Source organism: Homo sapiens, chromosome 5 (assembly GCF_000001405.40).
Source record: "Homo sapiens chromosome 5, GRCh38.p14 Primary Assembly".
Classification (NCBI taxonomy): Eukaryota; Metazoa; Chordata; class Mammalia; order Primates; family Hominidae; genus Homo; species Homo sapiens.
This window is the reverse complement of record NC_000005.10, coordinates 95,479,844-95,506,300: the sequence shown is the minus strand read 5'-3', so window position 1 is coordinate 95,506,300 and position 26,457 is coordinate 95,479,844. Positions and strand designations below refer to the sequence as shown.

At 35.7% G+C, this 26,457-nt stretch overlaps 1 protein-coding gene across 2 annotated transcripts in view, besides 2 other annotated features; it reads left to right on the top strand.

The window, feature by feature from the left end:
• SKIC3 (SKI3 subunit of superkiller complex) overlaps positions 1 to 26,457 on the top strand; it is a 91,084-nt gene that overhangs the window by 48,677 nt on the left and 15,950 nt on the right. For both annotated transcript variants that reach the window (NM_014639.4, XM_047417937.1), the window contains exons 31-39: positions 2,363 to 2,487; positions 3,298 to 3,421; positions 7,710 to 7,931; positions 8,813 to 8,885; positions 11,284 to 11,337; positions 11,508 to 11,619; positions 15,265 to 15,393; positions 21,456 to 21,577; positions 23,670 to 23,828. In NM_014639.4, the coding sequence (NP_055454.1) occupies positions 2,363 to 2,487; positions 3,298 to 3,421; positions 7,710 to 7,931; positions 8,813 to 8,885; positions 11,284 to 11,337; positions 11,508 to 11,619; positions 15,265 to 15,393; positions 21,456 to 21,577; positions 23,670 to 23,828 (1,120 nt within the window). The remainder of the gene's footprint in view (positions 1 to 2,362; positions 2,488 to 3,297; positions 3,422 to 7,709; positions 7,932 to 8,812; positions 8,886 to 11,283; positions 11,338 to 11,507; positions 11,620 to 15,264; positions 15,394 to 21,455; positions 21,578 to 23,669; positions 23,829 to 26,457) is intronic.
• Positions 18,994 to 19,610: an enhancer, noted in NCBI's record as "H3K27ac-H3K4me1 hESC enhancer chr5:94822395-94823011 (GRCh37/hg19 assembly coordinates)". NCBI's record gives its function as "activates a minimal SCP1, AML or CMV promoter by ChIP-STARR-seq in primed H9 embryonic stem cells {active_cell/tissue: H9 hESC(primed)}" and the evidence as "EXISTENCE:reporter gene assay evidence [ECO:0000049][PMID:30033119]".
• Positions 19,611 to 20,229: an enhancer, noted in NCBI's record as "H3K27ac-H3K4me1 hESC enhancer chr5:94821776-94822394 (GRCh37/hg19 assembly coordinates)". NCBI's record gives its function as "activates a minimal SCP1, AML or CMV promoter by ChIP-STARR-seq in naive H9 embryonic stem cells {active_cell/tissue: H9 hESC(naive)}" and the evidence as "EXISTENCE:reporter gene assay evidence [ECO:0000049][PMID:30033119]".

The following is a 26,457-nucleotide window of genomic DNA, read 5'->3' as shown; positions in this document are numbered from 1 at the left end:
TCTTAGGATTAGTGCTACATCTTTTAAGGAGCTACCTGGCAGACCTTAGGTAGCCAGTTATTTTCTTTTATAATTGTGTACCTGAATTATATCCAAAATTGGAAGATTGAACTGTTCTGACTGCCTCTCCTTTCAATTATTTTAAACTGTTAAATTTAAAAGTTGAAAAAAATACTTAAAAGTTGATAGAGCTGTCAGTTCCAAGATTTTGTTGAAGCAGAGGACAGATATTGTGTAGAATAAAGTATCTGTTCTTTTTAGTTTTGATGTTTTATATAATCTAAGTACTAATGTAAGTATTTTAGAAGAAAATATATACCTTCCATTGAAAACAGATTTTTTTTAAGTTTACTTTTATTATGAAATGTATGAAATGTGCAAACATGCAGTAAGTAATAGAATCATTTAATGAAAAGTCACCAATCAAATTATATCTTAAAATTCTGTCAGCTTGCTTCAGGTTACTTTTTCTTTTTTTTTTTTTTGGGGGGACAGAGTCTCGCGCTGTTGCCCAAGCTGGAGTGCAGTGGCGCGATCTTGGCTCACTGCAACCTCCACCTCTGGGGTTCAAGAGATTCTCCTGCCTCAGCCTCCCGAGTAGCTGGAATTACAGGTGCCCACCACCACGCCCAGCTAATTTTTTGTATTTTTAGTAGAGACGGAGTTTCACCGTGTTGGCCAGGCTGGTCTCGAACTCCTGACCTCGTGATTCGCCCGCCTTGGCCTCCCAAGGTGCTGGAATTACAGGCGTGAGCCACCGTGCCCGGCCTTCAGGTTACTTTTTCCAAAAAAATTTCAGATAGATTTGTGGAAGCACCCACATTCCCTTCTGTAGTTCCATTATTTTCTCCACAAAAGCACGCACATCTTAGAAGATAGTGTTTATTTAAAGAAATACTTTTAATATATATGTATGTATCCAAAAACAATCTAAGGTAGTCCTCTTTCCTTTATCAAAATTTGAGTATTGATTTTATAATTCCTTTCACCTTTAGAAAACTTATTTAGAAGTGAAGGTTGCCTATATTTTTAGCCCCCATTCATATCCTCCAAGATTAAAAAGATTTTATAAAAAGATTTCCACAACACATTAAAAATAAAAACAGATTCAGGTTATAGTGATGGATACCAGAAAGAAGAATCTCAAAGATATAGTGTTTCTCTTCAGATGATGGCAGTTGAGCTTATACAAGTTCCTTTTATCTTTAGGCAAAAACAAGTTATTTTTCTGTTATTAATAAGTATTGCACTTTAGTATATATTACAGTTTATATTTTCCTCCCTCTTTTTTTTTTAAGATGGAGTTTCTCTCTTGTCACCCAGGCTGGAGTGCAGTGATGCAATCTCGGCTCATTGCAACCTCCGCCTCCCGGGTTCAAGTGATTCTCCTGCCTCAGCCTCTCCAGTAGCTGGAATTACAGGCACCCACCACCATGCCCGGGTAATTTTTGTATTTTTTTTTATTAGAGACGGGGTTTCATCATGTTGGCCAGGTTGGTCTTGAACTCCTGACCTCAAGTGATGCCCCTGTCTTGGCCTCCCAAAGTGCTGGGATTACAGGTGTGAGCCACTGTGCCCGGCTTCCTCTCCCTTAAACACAAAAAAGAATAATATTTTGTTTGTGGAATTTTAGTGTATCTGTATGCCCTCCAAAAAAGAAAAAAAAAATGTGCAGATAAACAGTTTACACAAAAGATAGGTTTGATTCTGACTAGGCATTTTATGACTTGTTAAGCTTGGCAAAGATGCTAGAATCATACTCATAGGGTAATATTTAATTAAGTATTCAGCTTAAAAAAATTAGAGATCCATATTAAAGTCAACTTGAAATTATTTTTATAATTTGGGATTTTAATTAAAGCTTGTTAAGAAAAAAAAGAGACACTTCGTAATTTAGTAGACCACTATAAAAAAGGAAGTACACATGAAATTATCAAAAGAAACTTAGTGTAAATTTTTTTTTTGAGACCAGTCTTGTTCTGTCTTGCCCAGGCTGGAGTGCAGTGGTGCAATCTCGGCTCACTACAACCTCTGCCTCCTGGGTTTAAGCAATTCTCCTGCCTCAGCCTCCTGAGCAGCTAGGATTATTGGCATGTGCCACCACGTCCGGCTAATTTTTGTATTTTTAGTAGAGACGGGGTTTCACCATGTTGGCCAGGCTGGTCTCGAGCTCCTGACCTTGTGATCCACCCCCTCCCCCCACCCCCCACCCCCACCCCCCGCCTGGGCCTCCCAAAGTGCTGGGATTACAGATGTGAGCCACCGCGTCCGGCCCAACTTAGTGTAATTATATCTCAGTATTTTGATGATACACACCAGAATTACTTTTGATATTAAAAGTAAGTTGTGCTTTACTTCTTAGTTCCACTGGTGAATATGATAAAGCTATCCAGGCTTTTAAGTCAACACCCCTTGAAGTGTTAGAAGACATCATAGGTTTTGCATTGGCTTTATTCATGAAGGGGCTTTATAAAGAGAGCAGCAAAGGTAAGTATATTGCTCTGAAGCTAAGGACACATTTAGAGTCGAGTTTAATCATGATGAGCACACATACAGAAAGATGTAATAATGAGATGGGGTGGGGGTTGCAATGTTTATTAAAATCTGACTAGGAGTCAGCAGCAATACTAGGCACTTTTTTATCTGTTACCTCATTTAGAATGTTATTATGATGAATAGTCTTTATAGTAGTGTTATGAGCTGAGTATTCATTATACAGATGAGGAAACTGGGGCCCAAGATCACTTATGGCAAATAATGTGACTTAGCATTTGAAAACAAATGTTTACTACTCTACACTGCTTAGATGTTAATTTCTGATAAATGAAGACCTCAACCATTGTTAGTAATAGATTTTGATTTCTCCAAATATGTTATATGATGCATTTTCACATATATGGGCTTAGCCCACATGTGTATAGAGCATTGAAATATCTACTGCTTGATGGAGTTGCTGGGCTGCACGTGGGAGTTTTGGTGATATCTCAGTGGCTGCAGGCCTCTGCTTCTGACCCAAATTGGCTCGTAAAGACAGTGACCTAGATCCCCATATAGATTCCGAACGTAGAAGTTAGGGATTGTCACATAATAATCCTAATGATACTTCAGAATCACCTTGGAACAGTGAAAACAAGTTAGATTATTATAAATTTTTATTCTATCTGCTTGAGAACAGGAGAATACAAAGATATAATTGTATTTAGACCTTTCTAAAAAATTTGGAAAGGAAAAATCCCATGCTTCATCAATCAGGATGGCTTTTATATTGTTTTGTTTGTTTTCACTTCTATGTAACAGCCTATGAGAGAGCCTTGTCTATTGTTGAATCGGAGCAAGACAAAGCCCATATCTTGACAGCTCTGGCAATAACTGAATATAAACAAGGAAAAACGGATGTAGCCAAGACATTGCTATTTAAATGGTATGTATAGTTGACATCAACACTTAACATGACCAGATACTTAGATATTTGGGTTGAGAATTGGAGAAAGCGTAAGTTCTTCATGTTTTAGGAACTTTTGGGTGAACAAAAGGGATTGGGCCCACCTGGTTCTGAATTGATAGTCACAGGTGGAGCTACAGATTGTGATTTAATTCTTATCCCTTGATCTATTGGATTCTTCGAAACTGTCCATTACTCTGTTGCATATTATTTGTTTTTTTAAAAGAGAAACTGATCACCTGATAATTAGTATCTTAAAATTTTAATGAAGATAGTTGTAATGAAGCCTTGTCTTTTGGCTTCTTGGATTCCCAAAGAGATATTTTCTTCTTTCCTTTTCAAGATAACCTGTTAAAAGGTTCATTTAAAGGTAAATCTTTTTAAAAATGTGTAACAAAACTTAAAACTATTTCTGTGTTTTTGGAGTAGGTTAATAAAATAACGACCTGTGTTATTTGTGGTTACTTATATAATACTATTTAACTTCACTGAAGATTAGTTTTTTGAAAAGTGACCTGAATTCCTTCACAAGCAGTAGTGATTAATGTATGCTATTAAACAGTGGCCTCAGTGAGTGTTTTATTGGCATTTTTGAGTGATACCAATCTTCATGGTACAGAGATATCCTCCCATTGCAAAAAGCTTATATCCTTGCCTCCCACCCACTAAGTGCTAATATTAGCACTCCTCAGTCATTGTGACATCAAAAAAATTGCCTCTGTAACTACCCCATCTCCAAAGGTGGGGGGATGGAGATGGTTAGATGGTACTGGTTGAGAACCAGTTCTATAGGATAAACTTTACATTTGTTTATTTGATGTAATGCCTTTGTCCTATCCTGTGCCATTACAGTCATTTCCTTGTCTAATAAATAAGCAATTTTTTTCTTCCTCTTTGCTGGTTAGGAAAAGCCAACCCATTTAAAAGAAAATCCTGTCACTTTACATGGCTATATCATTTTAACATGTATCTATCGTTATATATAACATGTTCCAAGAACTTAAATTTGCAAATGGCTTGGTGACAAGAATCATAGATACTCATGATTACTGCAGTTATCAAGGGCAAAAGTAACCCCATATTAGAGTCATTAGATTAGTCTTTGGTTATTGCTTAAGACAGGAAATGAAAGTGGGAAAAAATATATATATATACAATCTTTTTTTTCTTTTTTTCCCCTTCTCCTATGTGAAGGCAAACCTTTACCCCGATGTTTTATGTTGTTGGATCCAAGCCTAGGTTTTTTGTTTTTTATGTTTCTTTCTTTGTTTTTGATTTTCTGCCTGTCTTCACCCAAACTTGACACTACCAACTGCTTCCACCTCTACCCATTGGCATTATTTTGTTTGATTTTCATTCTATGAAAAAGTTCAGTTCCTTAGTCTATATTGCTGTTGTTTGGCATTCATATGTTGTGAACTGAGCAGTGTACTAGACACTGATTTAAGGGGAATAGGATTAAGTTCATTATGGGAAAAAAGTCTGGTTACCAACTTTATAGACTGTGATAATAAGTAACCATGTGTAAAATCCTTAGAACATGGTAAAAGACAACATACAGATATTGAGCATTCAGCACGTGTTTGCTTAATACTAGAATGTAGTCATTTCAGTCATAATTTAGATTTTGTTTATTAGTAAGTATTAAAGTAGGTAGATTTTTTTTCCTTTGAGCAAGGCACAAAGTAGAATTCCTTTTTTTTGTTATCAATATTGAAATTTATATTTTACTATCTGCTTTTTGGCTTTTTTAGTTGTACCCATTAGCCATGTGGTTATTTGCTAGACATGACACTGACTGACATACTTCCATATTTGGACACATATGTATTAACTCTTATTGTAAAAAGAGTTACTATAGATACTTTAAGTAAGCTGTTTACTTCAGAACTGCCTCAGAAAATTCATGATTTGATACTTGTTTGTCAAAATGAAGTACAAAACTTTTAATTTCCCCCTTCCAAAAATAGTCCAAAGACGTAATGGTAGATATGTGACATTTTATAATGTTATAAATATTTCTGTTATATTTCAGTGAGCATTGTTTAAAACTTAGACCTGCTAAATTATTAATTTGTTATATAAGGTCATTTAAATGAAAAGTGATTAAAATATATCTTTCCTACATTGCCATCTACAAAACATCAGATATTAACGGATGTTAGATTGCATCTCAGTGTTAAATCTTCACCGATAGATGTACTTATGTAAATCATGAAAATTCTACTTATAACTATAGAAGTGAATTGTGGACGTAAAATGGTTATGCCGTTTGGATAATGGTACTAGGCAGCATTTGTATAATAACTAATGGCAAAAATTCATGGTTAGTGATGTATAAAATAAAATGTTCTTTGAGTAAAATATTCCCTTTATTAATGTTAAAGAAGGGGGGATACAACAAGGAACTAACGATTTGTATGACAGTGTCAGATATTATTTTGATTTTAGTATTTCCTGTTTTGGTTTATTTGCATCTTAGAAGAGCATAATGACATTGTTTGATGAAGCCTAATTATGCTGGACTGTTTTGACCTGGTTTAACCCTTCTGGTAGGAATTTAGGGATGAAAACCAAATAGTCTTTGTCTCTAGTGATACTACACTCTAGAATTTCCGCTTTGGAGAATACTCAGTTCTAACTTGTGATTCCTGGTACAACAAACTTTATTTTTCTAGCCTAGCAATGATCTAGAAGCAGAGGAATCCCAGCGCCTTTTAAAAGTTATTATGTGGTTTTCTTTTAAAAAGCTCCCGTTTTTGGAAAGTAGAATTTATGGGTACAACATCTGTTCATTATTTGCCCATAAAATAAAACTACTTAAGTTAAAAAAAAAAGTTTTTAAAAAAATTCCTTTATTTTTATTACAGTATAAAATTCATAATAATTCTTATAAGTTTGGTTGTTAGTGGAGAGCTAAGATTTTCTTTATTTAAATTAACTGGGATTCCTAAACATTAATGAATTTTCCTCCATAAGGCTAAGTCAGATTTTATAGTTGAAAGAGGAAAAAAAATGCTAGATGTTTACCTATAAAATGTAAATTATCCTTAAATTATAAAAATACTCGTTTGGAGTATAGTGGATATAGAGACAATTTGTACTTATTATGTAAAGTGCTGGTTTCAATACCATAGAGCAAATAGGACAAATCTTTATCAGAAAGATAAAAATCATATTTTAATTGAAGAGTTTTTTTTATTATTTATACCTTCTAAGATTTTATTGGAACTCAACATTTTAGCAAAATTGTGCTAATTACTTACCTGGAGCTGAAACTCAAAGAAGCTAATTTATATTTGTTTCTAAAACTTAGTGTATTAGTTCTCACACTGCTATAAGAAATACCTGAGACTGGGTAATTTACAGAGAAAAGAGGTTAAATTGGCTCAAGGTTCTGCAGGCTGCACAGGAAGTATGGCAGCATTGCTTCTGGGGCGGCCTCAGGAAACTTACAATCATGACAGGAAGTGAAGGGGAAGCAGGCATGTTTTACATGGCCAGAGCAGGAGGAAGAGAAAAGTGCTGCACACTTTTAAACAACCAGATCACGTGAGAATTCACTATACAGTACCAAATGGAGGTGGTGCTAAACCATTCATGAGAACTCTGCCTCATGATCCAATCACCTCCCACTAGACCCACCGCCAACACTGGGGATTACAATTCAACATGGAATTTGGGCAGAGACACAGGTCCAAACCATATCACTTAGGTGTAATGACCAGAAAATAAGTTTGGCTTTTGTTGGTCTGTGAAAAGTCATTGATGCTTTTAACTGCTTCAGTCAGGGAAATTGCTATCTCTTAACCACCAAGAAATTTGCTTTTATATTAATCTTAAAGTTGAGTTTAGTTTGGTGACTCTTTACGTAAATTGCTTGTTATACTAAATAATGTTTTGATAGTTACAGATAAAGACTACTCTAGTCATAGGCTGGGCGCGGTGGCTCACGCCTGTAATCCCAGCACTTTGGGAGGCCGAGATGGGCGGATCACGAGGTCAGGAGATTGAGACCATCCTAGCTAACATGGTGAAACCCCGTCTCTACTAAAAATACAAAAATTTAGCCGGGCCTGATGGCGGGCGCCTGTAGTCCCAGCTACTCGGGAGGCTGAGGCAGGAGAATGGCGTGAACCTGGGAGGCGGAGCTTGCAGTGAGCCGAGATGGTGCCACTGCACTCCAGCCTGGGCGACAGAGCGAGACTCCGTCTCAAAAAAAAAAAAAAAAGACTAACTAATGGGTAATTTTAAAATATCTTTACAGCTCTATCTTAAAGGAACCAACCACAGAAAGCCTTCAAGCCCTGTGTGCTCTAGGGTTGGCAATGCAGGATGCTACACTGTCAAAAGCAGCACTTAATGAGTTACTGAAGCACATCAAACACAAAGACAGTAATTATCAGAGGTGCCTTCTTACATCAGCGATTTATGCACTCCAAGGCCGCAGTGTGGCTGTGCAAAAACAAATATCTAAAGCTGTTCACAGGTAAATTCTGTATTTGTGAACCTGGAACCTAATTATACTTGATATGGTTGCATTTGACATTGGGACTTTATTAATACTATAAAATAAGGTAAGAATATACATTTGAAAACCAAACCCTGGTTTTATGAAATTTTACACAGGACCAGGTAACTGACTGTATATATTATTTTACCTATAAGGATTGTGTTTTTTTAATTCAATTGATAAATTTGGCCCTTAGTCAGGTTAAGGCCCAAACTTTGTTTTACTATTAAAGCTCTTAATTCCCAAGTTTGTAATATTCTTAGTCTGTTGTCTGGTACTGTCTAGATTGATGGTTTTAGTAATTTTCAGCCGTTTAAAGATTCATTAATTTCTTCAAAAGTTTAATAAAAGGAAGCTGTCATTAGTAGCAGTGGTTAATTATTATGTTTTATTTTTAGCAGTAAAGTGTCATGTCTGTAGTCTCTTTTCCTTTTAGAGTTCATTTTTGTTAACAATCTTTGCTGGGTTTTTTTTTAGTTATTTTAATATAAAGCTTATTCCTTATGTCATTTTTATTAGTAGTCATCTTCCTGCCATGCAGTATTACTTATCCTATAATTTTTAATCTCTTTGTGTTTGAACACAGTGTGTTAAATTTCCTTAACTTTTCTTAATTATCTCATGACTTTATAATCATCCATTGTTGATTTTTTTCTTCTTATTTTCATAAAGACTGTTGGTGTATATAGGTGATATAAAGTATGTTTTCTAAAAATACTTTCAACCAAACATGCGCAATTAATATGAACTTGTTTTAGATATTAAGAAAAGTTTTAAACTTAATAAATTGTTGGTTGCTTGTACATTTTGTGGTTAAAGTAACTTGTCCCTAAGCCTGCTACTTTTGATTCCTTTAGCAACCCTGGTGACCCTGCTCTTTGGTCTCTGTTGTCTCGAGTTGTTGCACAGTATGCTCAACGAAATGCAAAGGTAAAGTAACGTTTCAAATTCTAGCAAAGAGATAAAATAACTTGTGATATGGTAAATATGATAATTTTAAACTATGGCATTATTCTTCTGCAAGATAATTTGTACAATGAAGAAAGTTCTGTTATTAACTAAATTTTCCATTAGTCATTCAACGAATACTAGACTGAGTTTTCTCCATATACGGTTGTGCTGTTCTAGATGTTGTGGGAGCTACAAAGACGTACAAAGAAGTGGGAGCTACAAAGAAGTATGAAGATCTCTTTGAACACATGCAGATTATGTTAATGATATGTGATAAAGTAATGTAACACTGCCACATAGTAATCATTAGCTATGTGTTTTTGAATCCCAAAATATAATTTTATTTAAAATCAGCTTAAAGATAAGGCAGTAAGAACTAGAACACTGCTAATATACAAAAATGTAATTATAAATATGAAGTCACTGACACTCTATGAAGGATTATATACTATATTTTAGTTTGTAGCATCCAGATATTTTCAGGAGTCTATTCTTCTATTAACTTCTGTGGTTAATATATCCTCTCATAGTTCACTTCACTAGTTGGTAAACATAATGGTAATAGCTAATGTTTTGAACACTTGCCACGACTAATAATTCCAACATCTGAAGTCTGCAAGACCCACAGACTTGTTTGACATCTGTGAGTCTTGTTCGTTATTCCTACTGATTTTCATTCTTGGTGGCTTTGTTTCTTTGTTTACCCAATTGTGTGTACTTGAAAATTATTTGTAGGAATAATTTGAGGCCTAGAATTAAGGTGCCTTTCTACAGAAATAATTTGTACTTGCTTCTGCTGGGTGCTTGGGAGGTCCATCAATCTGGGACTACGTTATACAAAGTTTAGAACTTGGGGTTTTTGGACAAAGCAGGCTACTTTGTGCTTGGGTTGCTAGTTCTTGAGACCTGGAGTAATTCTGATTCACCTTGAACCTTAGGGTGTGGCCTGTTGGGGTCTCAGCTTATTCTGATGTAGGTCTCCTCTATACTCCCCTCCTTGTGTTAACCTGGGCCTTAATTTTTGTCCTACTAGCCCATACATCTTTCAGGATTAAAATTAAAATTTGTTAGCATTTGGGCCAGGCACGGTGGCTCATGGCTATAATCCCAGCACTTTGGAAGGCCAAGGAGGGGGGATTACCTGAGGTCAGGAGTTCATGACCAGCCTGGCTAACATGGTAAAACCCCGTCTCTACTAAAAATACAAAAATTAGCTGGGCATGGTGGCGCACGCCTGTAGTCCCAGCTACTCGGGAGGCTGAGGCAGAAGAATCACTTGAACCCGGGAGGCGGAGGTTGCAGTGAGCCGAGATCATGCCACCGCACTCCATCCTGGGTGACAGGGCAAGACTCCATCTATTAAAAAAAAAAAAAAAGAAAGAAATTGTTAGCATTTGCAAATGGCAGAAGCGGCTTCCTTGCTCACTTGTCTCTCTGAATTCCAGTTTTCCCTTTCAGTTTTGGCCTGGTAAGTCCTTAATATCTTGTCAATTTTTCAGTGCTTTTAAGAATATGTTTTTAAAATCTTTTATCTCAGTGCTTTTCAAACTTTAATGTGCAACTGAAGTCACCTGGTCATCTTGTGAAAATGCAGCTTCTAATTCTGTAGGCTTGAGATGGGACCCAATATTCTGCACATCTAACAACCTCTTAGAGAGTGTGGACGCTGCAGATGCACAAGCCACAGTTTGATCAGCAGGGTTTTATTTCATATTTTTAGTTATTTTTAGTGAGTAAGTTGGCTCAAAGGACCTGGAAGACCATTGTTACTCGACTCTAAAATTACCTGAATAAAGTGCTTTATTATGTGTCAGCTATCAGCATTTTTATAATCTCAACAGCCATTTGAAGTAGCTGCAATTATTTAAAGTTATAGATTTCAAATTGACCTAATGAAAACACTGTGATGCTACATGTATTTTTCTTATTTTTAGTATTGAGTTGATTATTGAAGCAATGATGAGCTTCACGGTGCCTTGAACTTTATTTATTTTACTAGAGTATGTAAGTTTTAAAAATACTATGTATTTTCATATAGTAAGCCATGTTAGTTTATCTTTGTGATCTCTCTCAGTCTTTATATTTTATATTGTTAGAAAATGTGTACATTTCGTTGGTAAAATTATATAACTTTTGAACCTTCAAATGAATATTTTGAAAGTAGAGTTGGTCACAGTAGAAAAGATTTCCTTTCACAAGATTATTAGTCTTTTCAAACAACAATAATAAATTGATACTTTTAAGAAGTTTAGGAGTTGTGAATGTGGTAAAACTGAACCTTTCCAGTGATTTAGTGGAAAGGTCTTATCAATCTTAATTTTTTCTTTTTCATGAAAGTTTCTGCATTTGTATAAATCATCAATATTTTCTGTTCTAGGGAGGTGTTGTAGCAGGAAATGTGGCTCATATTCTGGACTCAAATCATGGAAAGGTTAGTTTGTCCTAGTACAAAGGAAATGTTGAATTTATTAAATAATATTGATGAAGGAATAATAGTTTTCATAGTCTTAGGGATTATGTCATATCAAATAGAGTCTTTTAGTCAGTTTGAAAGAGAGGGAGCTATCAGGAAAATTGGCTAACATCTTTTCTCTTATTTAGAAGGCATTACTGTACACTGCGGTAAATCAGTTGGCTATGGGAAGCAGTTCAGCAGAAGATGAAAAAAATACTGCACTAAAGACCATTCAGAAGGCAGCTCTCCTTTCTCCAGGTGCATATAATATCTATTTCATTAATTCCAATTCTTTTTTTTTCTAAATACATATTTTGTAAGTGGGGGAAAAATCTTGCACACAATATATATTTTATTGGCATTGTTTATACCAGACAAAAATGTGTGTAATTTAGATCTTCTACAACAGGAGTTTGGGTGATTAAAGTACTTTGCACTATGTAAGTGTTTAATACAATATATAATGCTATCAGAAAGGACTTTTTAAATTGATGCATTATAGATTTACATAGTTTCAAGGTGCATGTGATAATTCAGTACATTTACATTCTTGAATTTAGATTCTATCAATCTTGCATTTATTTGTGATTTATAGGAGCAAAGTTTATATTTCCATGAAATAAGGCAAAAGGGAATTTTAAGAAAATATTTCAAGATTTTGCATATCGTTTGATTATCTGCTTTTGGCTACTGATTATTAAGAGAGCACCAATTATTGAAAGAGGCCTAAAGGAATGTCTGCTTAATGATACTTTATTACCTGGTACTGAAAATCTGAACTATACACATATTTTCAAGAAACAGTTTTATTTCCATTTTGCATCAATATGGTTTAAAGAGTTTTACCTATAGTTACTAAATTATTTAACATACATATTTAGATATTTTTACGTGTAGTTAGCTTCTTGAAGGATGGGGATGTATCTTATGTGGTAACTGTTAGAAATGCCACAGTTATGGCCTCACCTGAGCTAACTGTGTCATATATAGGCTGTTGATCACAAAAGTACTGAGGAATGTTACTTAAGCGTGTTCCATCACCACTACTGGAAAAATGCCATAGAAGACTGGAATGTCTAGCAGTATAGGGTTATAAGGTATATTTTTATATAATATAATATTATTTTAAATATGAAATAATGTATTAAATGTATTCCCTTTTAACTCTTCAGATGTGTTAGATCAGAATGCTATTGCTTTTGCCTAAGCACTGTTGGGAAAAAAATTACACCAAGAACAAGTTCAATGTTATCTTCACAATAAATTGTAAAGACCCTCATTAAGCTGCAAAATAGTTAACATTTCAGGGATTATTTTGTAAACTAAGTAAAAAAAGTCAATATTCTGTTGTTTATCTTTTCTTTCATTTTGACATAGAAACAAAAAGAGACTAAACATTTTGATTTGTCTATGTTATATATATATTGGTAGGTTTTTTATTTTTGGAGTTCTCAAGCAGATATTAGATAGACTTACTCTCAATAATTCTTATCATGGATCCAGAATGATAAAAGATCTATTAGCCTTTGATTGTGTAAGGACATAAACTTTAGAAAGGTGAGATTGCCCAGATTAGGTCCTCTCTAATGATCTCTGATGTTCCCAGATTATCTGGATAAATACATACTCAAGGAAGCAGAGACATCCCATAAGATGCTAAAACAGTGACTGAGTGGCAAAGATGAGTGCCTGTTTGAGACTTGTCCTTAGAGTCCAATGAAAATGAATATAACTGTAGTTATGTGTAGTGGCTGTACACTTAGTCCTTGTAGATCTTTAGATGAACAAAGCACAGTTTTGATAGATGCTATTCCAGGGAGTCTTGTCAGGAATTTAAAGATAATTACAAGAATTTAGAACTGAATGGAAAAAAATCCAATTTCTGCTAGATTAGTGCTTTTGTGATACTAAAAGTTATCTTTAGCAAGCTATATTTTAAAATTTTTAGGTTTGTAGTTTATATATTATCTTAGAGTCACTTTATTTTATAGGGAATTTGGGTTGCTGGTTATCTATGGAAGAGTTCATGGAAACAGTAATTATTTTGTGTTGTGATAGAAGAAATTGCTGCCAGCTATTGTCCATTCTCCAATCAGAAATGCAAACTATACAATACTGTAAGATCCCTAAAGTAGCTATCCCCTTAATCTTAGGATTAAGTTAATATTCAGAGATTGAGTCTACTTCAGTTGGAATCATAGAATTTAAGACCCTATGGCACCTCAGCTGTTATCTAGTTTAGTTGTCTTGTTTTTTTTTTTTTTTTTTTTTTTTTTTTTTTTTTTTTCTTTTTTTTTTTTTTTGAGACGGAGTCTCGCTCTGTCGCCCAGGCTGGAGTGCAGTGGCGGGATCTCGGCTCACTGCAAGCTCCGCCTCCCGGGTTCACGCCATTCTCCTGCCTCAGCCTCCCAAGTAGCTGGGACTACAGGCGCCCGCCACTACGCCCGGCTAATTTTTTTGTATTTTTAGTAGAGACGGGGTTTCACCGTTTTAGCCGGGATGGTCTCGATCTCTTGACCTCGTGATCCGCCCGCCTCGGCCTCCCAAAGTGCTGGGATTACAGGCGTGAGCCACCGCGCCCGGCCAGTTGTCTTGTTTTATAGGAAAATGAATCCTAAAGGAAGAACTACCACACATTAATTAGTGGCACGGCTAGACCTGAAACCCAGATCTAAGGCTGTCATGTGCCTTTCTTTATATAGTAATCAGATTTCATCATAAATTCTAGGAAATAGTCCCCATTTGTTTATTCTGGAATTTGATGATGTCTGTGTTCCTTAAAATAAGGTAGTTATTATTTGGAGCAGAAATTGTTTCATAATATGGAGGTATGCATTTAACTTTTTGTAAAAGTATTTGATCTGCATAAGATTTTAATGATTCTTGTAATTTTGTTGATTTTTGTACTTTTAGCAATAATACTGGTCACCTATAACTGAAGTATATATATATTTCAGATATATGATAAGAAACATATATTGGGTGGGGTGGTCAGATAAGAAAAAATAGAAAACTAAAGCTAATAAGTATGATCAAGTGTCTATATTGTTAACTAGCACCCCCTTGTGAGATATTAAAAGCATTCATTTGTTTTTTTAAGAGTAGCAGGACTAAAATATTAACTTGCTGAAGTAAACAGCAAAATAAGCTTTATAAAAATAAATGACCAAACAAATGAAAAGAAAAAACTTCTAAATTCCATATTCCCTTCACGTTTCTTTTTTTCACAGCTTTCTTAAAAAGAGAAGTCGTTATGCATAATCTTTTCTATGCATAAAAAGTTCCCTTCCAACTCACTGCTGTTGGACTTTTCTCCTTCTCCCTACCCTGAAGCTGCTGTGAAGGATGAAGGAAAGAAGAAAAGATCAAATGAATGAGGGATAGATAGTCATATAAATGCTTCACTTGGAATGATGAAGTGACTTTTCTGCTTGCCTATTAGAATATAATTAAAATCTTGAGCCTTTCCTTTGGCTTAAACTTTTCTTAAGAACTGAAAAATTGTGTTATCTTCCTTGTCCTAGGACTGAGTCTTTAAAACAGCAACTACTAAGTCATGAAGATGAGTGAGACTTGTCCTTGGTGTCCAGTGAAAGTGAATCTAATTGCCCTTTCCACAGTAATACAGCACTCTAGGCAGCTGAGCTAACCAGCCATGGATGAACAGCTTAATAGGATGTTTATCATCCTCTGATATGTTTGGAAAAATTGGCAAATCTGGAAAGATGAATGTAGCAATGTGTCTCTGAAAACAAGTGCAATTTAATTTTCCTTTGAGAAAGTGAAATTTTTTTTTAGATACAATTTTTTTTTAACTTGTAAACTCTTAATCTCATTTTTGATAGTTTTTAAGCAACATGTTGATTTTAACAAGACTTATCACTGTGTATTTCCTGTTTTCAGGTGATCCTGCTATCTGGGCTGGGCTAATGGCAGCCTGTCACGCTGATGATAAACTGGCCTTAGTGAACAACACTCAGCCAAAGAGGATAGATTTATACTTGGCACTGTTATCTGCTGTTTCTGCTTCAAGTAAGTTTTTAAAAGCATCTTTATACATGATTTAATTCAGATTTCTTGAATGGTTAAATCCAGAATACAAACGGCTTCAGCATATGTTGTTATAAAAAATATATTCATTAGGCCGGGCATGGTGGCTCACGCCTGTAATCCCAGCACTTTGGGAGGCCGAGATGGGCAGATCACGAGGTCAGGAGATCGAGACCATCCTGGCTAACATGGTGAAACCCCGTCTCTACTAAAAAATACAGAAAATTAGCTGAGCGTGGTGGCGGGCACCTATAGTCCTAGCTACTCTGGAGGCTGAGGCAGGAGAATGGCGTGAACCCAGGAGGCGGAGCTTGCAATGAGCCGAGATTGCGCCACCGCTCTCCAGCCTGGGTGACAGAGCGAGACTCCGTCTCAAAAAAAAAAATATATATATATATATGTATATTTTTATGAATATATATATACATTATTTAAATATATATATACATTATTTAATGAATATATATATTTAAATAATGTATATATATATATTCATTAAAAATCCATAGTAAAATGTTTGTACAGAAGTGTGATAAGCATATGTATTTTCTCTTCCAGATAGCTTAAAAGCCCAATGGGTTCTGTTAGCTGAAATCTTTGTTTTGTAGCATTTACTTACTTTGAGACTTTACCAGCATTTTAGGATAAAGGTGACCTGGAAAGAGTCCTTTACTGAAACCAGCATTGAAATTGTCCCATGATTCCTCCTGGGAATCTTGGTCAGAATAAGCTGTTAATCTAATCAGATTTAGTTAACATTGTTTTGTAAATCTATAAATTTCTTCACTGAAAGGTGACATAGATTAACCTACTTAAATTAATAAATAGATTAGCCTACTTTTGTCTTGGGACATTAGCTTTTCACTGAATTAATTTTAGGTTATTAATCATTTTTTAGTAAATGTTAAGCATCATTACTGCCTGTCTTTTGACTACTAGGGCAAATTAAGAAAAGTAGGCTTTTGTTTAATGGTATTAGATTATATAAGATTGAAATATTTTAATAAAATGAATTTATTAAGTGGTAATTCAGAAATACCTATAACATAGTTATTTTGAAGCCATGCTCTTCAGATTAAAAGAAAGAACAATCTACCTATTTTTATTTTTTATCCGCATTGACAATCTCTTTTCTTTCATTGGTTATGTTTAGACTATAGGTGTTTGAAGTGATTGTTGATATAATTGGTTTAGTATCTATCATATATTTTACCATTTTCTATTTGTTGCCTTTGTTTTTTGTTTCCATTTTTGTCCAACTATTTTTCTGTGTTTTGTAGTTTTAATTGTGCATTTTATTTGATGCTATTTTCTCTTCTTTGTTAGCATGTCAGTTGTATTTCCTTTTCTACTTTTTTTTTTTTTTTTTAACTGGTTGCCCTTTTTTACTGGTTGCAATATACATTTAGAATTAATCCAACTCCATTTTCAACTAACACTATACTGCTTTATGGATAGTGCAAGTCCTTATAGTAAAACAATCCTAATTATTGTCCTTTATGTCATTGCTCTTTTGCTTACACATAAGCATACGAGTCTGTATACATCCACACACACGTAAGCACACATAATCAAATACATTGTTGCTATCATTATTTTAGTTGTTTTTTTTTTTAAGAGATGAGGTCTTGCTGTGTTGCCCAGACTGACCTCAAACTCCTGGGCTCAAGTAATACTCCTGCCTCCGCCTCCCAAGTCATAGGTACAAGTCACTATGCCCAACTAATTTTTTTATTTTAGAAATGAGGTCTTGCTATGTTGCTCAGGCTGGTCTCAAACTCCTAGGCTCAAGCAGTCCTCCTGTTTTGGCCTCCTAAAGTATTGGGATTACAGGTGTGAGCCACCACATCCAGCCTATATGTGTTGTGATAGGTGAGACTAGTTTCTTGTATGCAGCATATGTTGGGTAATTTTTTTTAATCCATTCAGCTAATCCATATATTTTCAATGGAAAGTTTAATTCATTTACATTCAAGGTTGTCATTGATGTGTGTTGCCTTATTTCTGTTGTTTAATTAGTTGATTTTTTTTTTGGTATATTCTTTATTTCTTTCTCTCTTTATTGTGTGTTATTGTATTTTGGTGCTTTTCTGTAGTGGTACCATTTGTGTCCTTTCTCTTCCTCTTTTGTATGTTTGCTTTACCAGTGAGTTTTTACTTTTGTGTGTTTTCATGATGGTAAATGTTGTCTGTTCTCTTTTAGGTTTAGATTCCATTGAGCATTTCTTGTAGGACTGGTCTAGTGGTGATATTCAACTTTTACTTGTCTGGGAAAACTTTATTTTCCCTTCATTTATGAAGAATAACTTTGCTGGGTATAGTGTCCTTGGCTGACAGTTTTTTTCTTTTCAGCAGTTTGGATATATTATCTTATTCTCTACTGGCCTGTAAGATTTCTGCTGACAGATCTGCTGTTAGTCTGATGGGTGTTCATTTATAAGTAGTATGCTCTTCTCTTTATGTTTTTAGTATTCTCTCTTTGTCTTTGACTTTTGATGGGTTATCTATAGTGTGCCATGGAGAACATCTTTTGGAATTGTAAATATTTGTGCATCTCTAAGCCTCCTCATGTTTTCAGATGTCTAAATCTCTTGCTAGAATTGGGATATTTTCATCTATTATTTTGTTAAATAGTTTTTTTAAACAAAATAATTATGTTTTCTTTTTGCCTTCTAGGACACTGAAAATTTAAATATTTGGGTGTTTTATGGTGTTCCATATGTCATGTAGGCTTTGCTTATTCTTTTACATTTTTGTCTCACTAGGTTGTTTGAAAAGATCTGTCTTCAAGTTCTGAGGCTCTTCTGCTTGATCTAGTCTGTTGTTGAAGCTTTCAGATATATTTTGTATTTCATTCAATGAATTCTTCATTTCTAGAATTTGTTTGGTTATTTCTTATGATATCCATCTGTTTGGTAAATTTTTCATTAATGTCCTAAATTGCTTTTTCTAATTTCTTTGTACTGGTTTTTAGTATTCTCTTGTATCTTACTGAGCTGCTTTATTATCAATATTTTGAATTTTTCCCCTAGGATTTCATAAATTTCTTTTTGATTGAGATCTGTTGCTGTAGAATTATTATGTTCCTTTGGAAGTGTCATATTTCCTTGCTTTTTCTTGTTTCCTTTGTCCTTACATTGATATATGCATATCTAGTCTAACAGTCACTTCCAATTTTGGAATTTTCTTTCGTAGGGGAGCACTTTTTCCTGAAGATGTATCCATGGTGTTGTTTGGGTAGGTCACTTTGGCTTTGATTCTGAATGTAGTCTCTGATTTCTTTGGCTGTAGACAGCATCAGTGATATTTGTGATTTCTTTGGTTTGTTAGGATGTACTTGTTAGTGGAGGCTTGGTGAAGTTATGGTGGGGCCTGGGATGCCAGATAGGCCAGTCTTTGGGTCCTAGTGGTGGCAGCAGTTGGCTAAGCTTGCCTGTCCTTGGATGCCAGAGCAATGTCCTGGTGTTAGTGGGTTTAGACAGGCCCATTCTTGTGCCTCTATTAGATGGATTGCCCAGGTTCCAGGAATGGCAGCATTGGTGTATTAGGGTTCTCCTAGAGGGACAGAACTAATAGGAGATATATATATGGGGAGTTCATTAAGTATTAACTTACAGGATCACAAGGTCCCACAACAGGCTGTTTGCAAGCTGAGGAGCAAGGAGAGCCAGTCCCAGCCCCCACACTGAAGAACTTGAAGTCTGATGTTTGAGGGCAGGAAGCATCCAGCATGGGAGAAAGATGTAGGGTGGGAGGCTAGGCCGGTCTTGCTTTTTCGTGTTTTTCTGCTTGCTTTATATTTGCTGGAAGCTGATTAGATTGTGCCCACCAGATTAAGGGTGGATCTGCCTTCCTCAGCCCACTGACTCACATGTTATTCTCTTTTGGCAACACCCACACAGACACACCCAGGATTAATACTTTGTATCCTTCAGTCCAATCAAGTTGACACTCAGTATTAACCATCACAATTCGGCTGGGTAGGTGGGTGTGTTCTTGAGTCCCTGGGCAGCACACGTGGTGTGGGTGATGGTAGTGGCAGTGGGACCAACCCTCTGGGACCCAAGCAGTCCACACTGGCATTGGTGGTGGCTGCAATGGACTGAGCACACCAGTCTCCAGGCCAACAATGTGATACATGTAAGTGAGTGCCAGCTGCGGTGTTAGCGGCAGATTGGATGGGCCCAACCTCAGACCCCAGAGGAGTGCTCAAATACTAATGGTGGTGGTCTGAGCTGGGCAATCCCGAGGCCCCAGGAGGGTATGCTTGGGTACTCTGGGGAATGGAGCCAGGCCAGGTAGACTGTCCTTAGGCTCCCTGGTGGTGCATGCGGGCCCTGGCTGTGATAGGCAGGGGCAGAGTGATGCCGGGCTGCCAGCAAATGCTTTGTTGGGAGCAGCAGCTGCTGCACTGTGACCCTGCTACTAGGTAGGGTGGGGTTGCTTTCAGTGTGAGCAGCCATAGGGTTGCAGCCTTCAGTGATGCCTCAGCTCTGCTGTATTCTAATGCAGTGGTAGCTGCAGGGCAGTGGAATTTGTTCTCAGGGCACTTGAATATGCATGGCTGCTCCTTACCAGCAGCTCATGGTGGTTGACAGTGGCTCTCACCTCAGCTCCAGCAGCAGTGGCTGTGGGCAGGGAATATCAGTGGGGCTCTAGGACTGTGGAGATACAGGGGCTGTTGGGCTGCATGGCAAGACACAGCCTGGTAGAGGGCTGGGCTCTCAAAATAGTGCCTCACTCTAGCTGCTTAGGACTCAGGGGTTTGTGGGACTCAGCGTGAGCTCCCACTTTGGACCAATGCCATTATTATGTACTCCCTATGTTAGTTTTAGGGCCTGCAAGGGTCACGAGGTTGTCTTATGGCTAGAATTATCAGAGTCCATGGTAGGAATGTAAACTGTTAGGGGTCTCTTTCCTATCCTTTCCCTGCATTCAGGAGCCTTTCTAGGCTCCCAGCTGATCCCAGCCGAGCAGACGACCTCACTCCCCTCTCCTTCCTTGCTTTTGGTGTTTCCTGTCACTTTTCTGTTGAGGTCCAGTGTGCTTTCTTAGATAATATATCTGAAGTGTGATTATCTACTTGCTATTTGGTTCCTTTCCATGGACGAGGCGAGCACCGAATGCATCTAATCAGCTATCTTGAATAGCTATCTTAAATTCACTTACTAGTGAATTTTACCAAATATTTAAGGAAAAATAATACCCATTCTACTCAAATTCTTTCAGAAAATCTAAGATAGTAACACTTCTGACATCTTCTATGAGGCCAGCATTACCCTAATACCCAAACCAGGCAAAGAACAACATTGCTTGTGAAGGTAGATGGAGAAATTCATAACAACACTTCACCAATTCAAATCCAGCAATACATAAAAATGATAATAATACATTATGATCAATTATGGTTTATCCCAGGAATGCAAGATTGATGTACCATTTGAAAATGAAGGTAATTTGCCATATTAGCACCTGTGAAAGATGCCAAAGAGTTTATACTATATGATTCCACTTATATGAAATTTGTGGAAATGCAAATTGGCCTATGTGACAGAAAACAGATTAGGAGCTGACTGGGGACAGGGGCTAAGGGAGGATGGAGTAGGTTGGGGACAGAAGTGGTTACAAAGGGACAAGAGGAAAATTTTGATAATGCTGAATATGTTCATTATCATGGTTGTGGTGATGGTTCACTGATATACATGTCAAATATCATCAGATTGTATAGTTTGAAAATGTGCAGCTTATTTTACATCAATTATATCATAGTAAATCTTTACATGTTTTCAGCAAATTATTTTATTTTTCTTTAGAAGTCACAATTATATGAGGCTTTGAGTTATTTAGCCACAAATACTCCTGCCATGAAACTTTTCAGAAACCTGCCACTTGTCAGGATAGTCTATGGTACATGTGGCACATGTAACTTTGAAAAACTGTGTATGGATGATAAGCCCAACGGTAATTTTTTAGCAACCAGTTACTCCTCTAAGAACACATTATAAATTGCAGAAGAAAGTAACATTGACATTTTTTGTTTACAGTTAAAGACGAAAAATTCTTTGAAAATTACAACCAGTCCCTTGAAAAGTGGTCTCTCTCACAAGCTGTCACTGGTCTAATAGACACAGGAAGAATATCTGAAGCTGAAACTCTCTGCACAAAGGTATTTTATGGAATGTGCATTGAAACTCATGGATTCTTATCTTACTGGGAAAATAACTTCAAAAATGGAATGTATGAGGCTAGATGCGGTGGCTCACTCCTGTATTCCTGGCACTTTGGGAGACTGAGATGGGAGGATCACTTGAGGCCACGAGTTTGAGACGAGCCTAGGCAACATAGCGAGAGGCTGTCTCTACAAAAAATTAAAAAATTAACCGGTCCTGGTGACACATGCCTGTAGTTCCTGCTACTCGAGAGGCTGAGGCAGGAGAATTGCTTGAGCCCAGGAATTTGACGTTGCAGTGAGCCATGATCACACCACTACACTCCAGCCTGGGCAACAGAATGAGATCCTGTCTGGAAAAAAAAAAAAAAAAAAAAAAAGAGGAATGCATGTTGTTTAAAGAGCAGGTAGTGGTGGTGATGACAATTATGATGATAACAACTAAAATTTATTGATTACTGTACTTGCCACAAACCAGTCACTGCATTTAGCATTTTGTATTTGAACTTCACAACAATCTTATATATAGGTATTTATTATTATCCTCATTTTTACAGATAAGAAAAACTAAGACTTAAAGAGGATAAGTAATGTGCACAGGAGCTTACAATTAGGAATGGATAGAGTTGTGATTTGAACTCACATTTGTCTGACTCTAGGACTCAAGCTCTTATTATAGGTCTTTAAAAAATTTTTTATTTGGGTGTCATTAGAGAGGCAGTATTTTCCTTTGATTTCTGATTGGTTCCTTCTTAATGCTATATTTTCCAGTATCCCTTCAGTTTTCCAAAGTTCTGGATCACATAGAATGACTGTGGAGATTGTTGAGTGGGTGACTGGAATCTACTCAGTAGTCTGTTTTTACATGCCAGGATTGGAGGGCTCTATGCTTGCAGGCTCTGTGAATAAATGTGTATTACCTTGCCTAGAACATAGTAGGGGCTCAATAAATATTTACTGAAAGAATGAATTAGTTTCCAAAGCTCACTTAGAAATAATGTAATGGTTAAAGAGAGTTTTGAACGTGACTTTTCCTGAAAACATCGTATTTCATAATTGCTTACCATGGAGGTTGTGTAATTTTTTTGGAAAGATCAGTATACATTTTACAGAGAAAGAAGAATGGACTTTTGAAGATTTCTTTGGTTCTTAAATTCTATGAAAAGCAGAGTGATACATTTTTTCTTTTATTTAAGGAATTCCATCTAAGTTCAGGACAGGGTATTACACAGTAAGTGTTTACTAAGCATAAATTGACAGTTGCTATGTGCCCTCTGATAGAATAAGTGATGCCTAATGAACCTTTCCTTGTCGGTTTGTTGTTGCAATCTCTTACTTAGAAGAAAGCAATCAAATAAATTTTAGAAATACATTTAAGATCTAATGAGTAAAAAATAGAAAAGTATGCTATTGAGGGACAAGCAATAAAGAAATATTTGAAACAATAGTGGGAGGACTTGTTTACAGAAATTCTTCATATATATAAAAATATATACACATACAGAGAATATAAGTATATACAATACATTTATGTATGTATGTAGGTAAGTATTTTAAGATAGAAACAGTAGCTTAAGGAAATGGGGAAAATAGGTCATTTTTCTTACTCGCAGTACTTGAAAAGGCTGTGCCTAGAAGAAAGACATGTAGAGTGAATACCTTTGTTAAGAGGTTAAGAAAGAAAAAAATGTATGCCTCTTTTCTTCTTACATAGTATAGTTTATTCCAGTATGGAATAGTGATAGCATTCCCACTTAATTTTATATTTATATTTTCTTAGTTCAACTATTTACTTACATTTAGAACCTAAATTTTTCAGGATATCACTTAAGAGTAAACTAAGTCAAAGGGAAATACATGTAGACTACAGTAATAGCATTACTGATTTTAAAGGTTATTTTAATGTAAAGTTTGATATTTACAGGCTGTTCATTGTTTTGTTTATTTAATTATTTGCAGTTGTTTTCTCTTTAATAAGAAAAGGTATAAACCTTCAGAATTTTATTTTCCCAACTTGGAGAATAATGCTTTTTACTTTTAACACTTAAGAACCTATTTGATGTGTTCCTCTTTGGGATTTGATTTCTAGAATTTAAAAAGTAACCCTGATCAGCCAGCCGTTATCTTACTTTTGAGACAAGTTCAGTGTAAACCACTCCTGGAGTCACAAAAGCCACTCCCAGATGCTGTACTTGAAGAACTACAAAAAACAGTCATGTCCAACTCAACCTCTGTTCCAGCTTGGCAGGTAAGTTTTCTCCTTTCTTACTTGAGTCCTCAATTAAAACACTTCATAATATTAGTTAATGTCAGGGCTATGCTCCATTTTTATTTGGCTTGCTGTCACTCTCACCATGTTATCTCTCAGTTTCAAGATCTAAAAGGTATTGTGGTTAGAGGAACTAAGGAAGTTTAACACTAGTTTTGGATCTGCTACAATGATGATTTAAAGCTTTTTAAGTTATTGATTCTAAATTTTCTCACTTTAAAACGGTGATGAAAATACTGTCTTTTATATGGGTTGATATGTTATAGACATTTTATAATAAGGGTATCATAATGGTGTTTAACTCTGCTTTTACAGGAGATATGTATAGTTTCTCCCTAGCTACTTTACAGATAACCTGTATTTAGTGCTTTTAGAAATAATTATTTTCAGGATTGATGCTTGAATCAACAGATCATCTGCTCTTTCAGGTGGCTCTGGTTATCCACAGTGACAAATGCACAATGATCACTGTGTGCTTTGTTCTTATTGATATTAAAATACAAGGAAGCACATAATTATTTTATACAATTTATTATATTTCCTCTGTGCCCCAGAGAAAGTATCAAAAGGGCTTTTTGATATAGATTTATAGACGCTTATTATCTTACTATAATTTGTTTTTTATTCTGATCTTTTATTATATCAGCTTTTTTATATCCCTGCTTTAGATAATTTGAAAAAATTATCTGGCATAAAATTACTGGATTATGAAAACTAAGCCTCCCTTTTACTGTAATTCTTTTTTCCCCTTTCTTAGAGTAAGTTTTCTGTATGAGATTTAGGATTTAAGATCAACATCTAGTTGACCTCAGAACATCTAGCTGACCTTAGATACTTAATCAACAACTAGATGTTGTTGATTTCATATTCATTATCAAAGGGAGAAATACATTGTCAAACTAAAAGGGAAAAATTGAAGGATAAATTATATCATAAGTGTATTAGTCTATTTTCACACTGCTGATAAAGACACCTGAGACTGGGCAATTTACAGAAGAAAGAGGTTTAATGGACTTACAGTTCTCTGTGGCTGGGGAGGCCTTACAATCATGATGGAAGGAGGAAGGCGTGTCTCACATGGCGGCAGACAAGAGAGAGAGCTTGTGCAGGGAAACTCCCCTTTTTAAAACTATCAGATCTTGTGAGACTTATTCGCTATCATGAGAACAGCACAGGAAAGACCTCCCCTCATGATTCAGTTACCTTCTACCAGATCCCTCCCATAACACATGGGAATTCAAGATGAGATTTGGGTGGGGACACAGCCAAACCATATCAATAAGTAAAGTCTTAAGAGACTGCATGTGTGTGTGTATGTGTGTGTTTTCTTTTATATTATGATATAATTCACAAGGAATAAAGTGTAAAAATCTTAAAAGTACTACTCTATATATGACATACCTGTTTAACACCTCCCATATCAAGATACAGAACAGTTCTAGCAACCCAACTGCTTCCCCTAGGCCTCTGTCAGTTGATCTTCTTGCTTGACTCCCCCCACCCCAAAACAAGGAAATCCTCTATTCTGACCTCTATTTAGTTTTTCCTGTTTTTGAACTTCATATCAATGGAGTAGTACTCTTTTGTATCTGGTTACTTTCACTCAACAGGATGTCTGTGAGATTCATTTGGTGGTTTCATGTACCATAATTTTTTTCATTTCATTTTATGGACATACGATAATATTTATTCATTTTACTGTTGATGGGCATTTGGGTGTTTCCAGGTTTTGTCTAGCATGAATAATGCTGCTGTGACCATTCTTGGTCATGCTTTTTGGTGGGACATAGGGTATATGTATGGTTAATTTAGTAGATCCTGCCAAAGAGTTATCTAAAATGGTTATACCACTTTACACTTGCACCAGCAGTGCATGAGCATTCCAGGTGCTGATATTGCTAGATTGTCATGTTTTTCCCCTATTTTGGTGAATATGTAGGTAATAATATATTGTAGTGATTTTAACTTGTGTTTACCTGATATCTAATGACATCAAACAACTTTTCGTATGCTTATTGAGCCTTTGGATATCCTCTGTGTAAAGTGCTTTGCATAATTTTTAATGGAGTCTTCATTTTTTACTTACTAAATTATTGGAATTTATTATATTTCCTGAATCTGAGCACATTTTTGGATATTTTTATTGAAAATATTTTCTTACACCTATGGCTGCCTTTATTAATGTTATTTTTTAATGAATAGTTCTTAATTCTGATGAAGTCTGATGATGGTTAATGCTTTATTGGGATATTCTATTTAAGAACTTTTTGCTTACTCTAGGTTCATGAAGTTTTTTTTAATATTTTGTTTTAGAAATTTTATTGTTTTACTTTTCATGTTTAGGTCTATAATTTATCCTGGATTAATCTTTGTGAATATTGCAGGAGTTAAGGTTTATTTTTACCCGTAATTAACATAGTACCAATCTTTGAAAAGACTATTCAGTCCCCATTGAATTACAGTGATGCCTTTGTCATAAATCAGCTGTGTATGTATGGGTCTTCAGGCCTCCTTATTTTCCATTGGTCTATTTTTTAATCTTTTGTTTTTTATTCTTGAGTATAGCTTTATAATTAGTCTTAATATGTGGTAACATTAAAACCTCCAA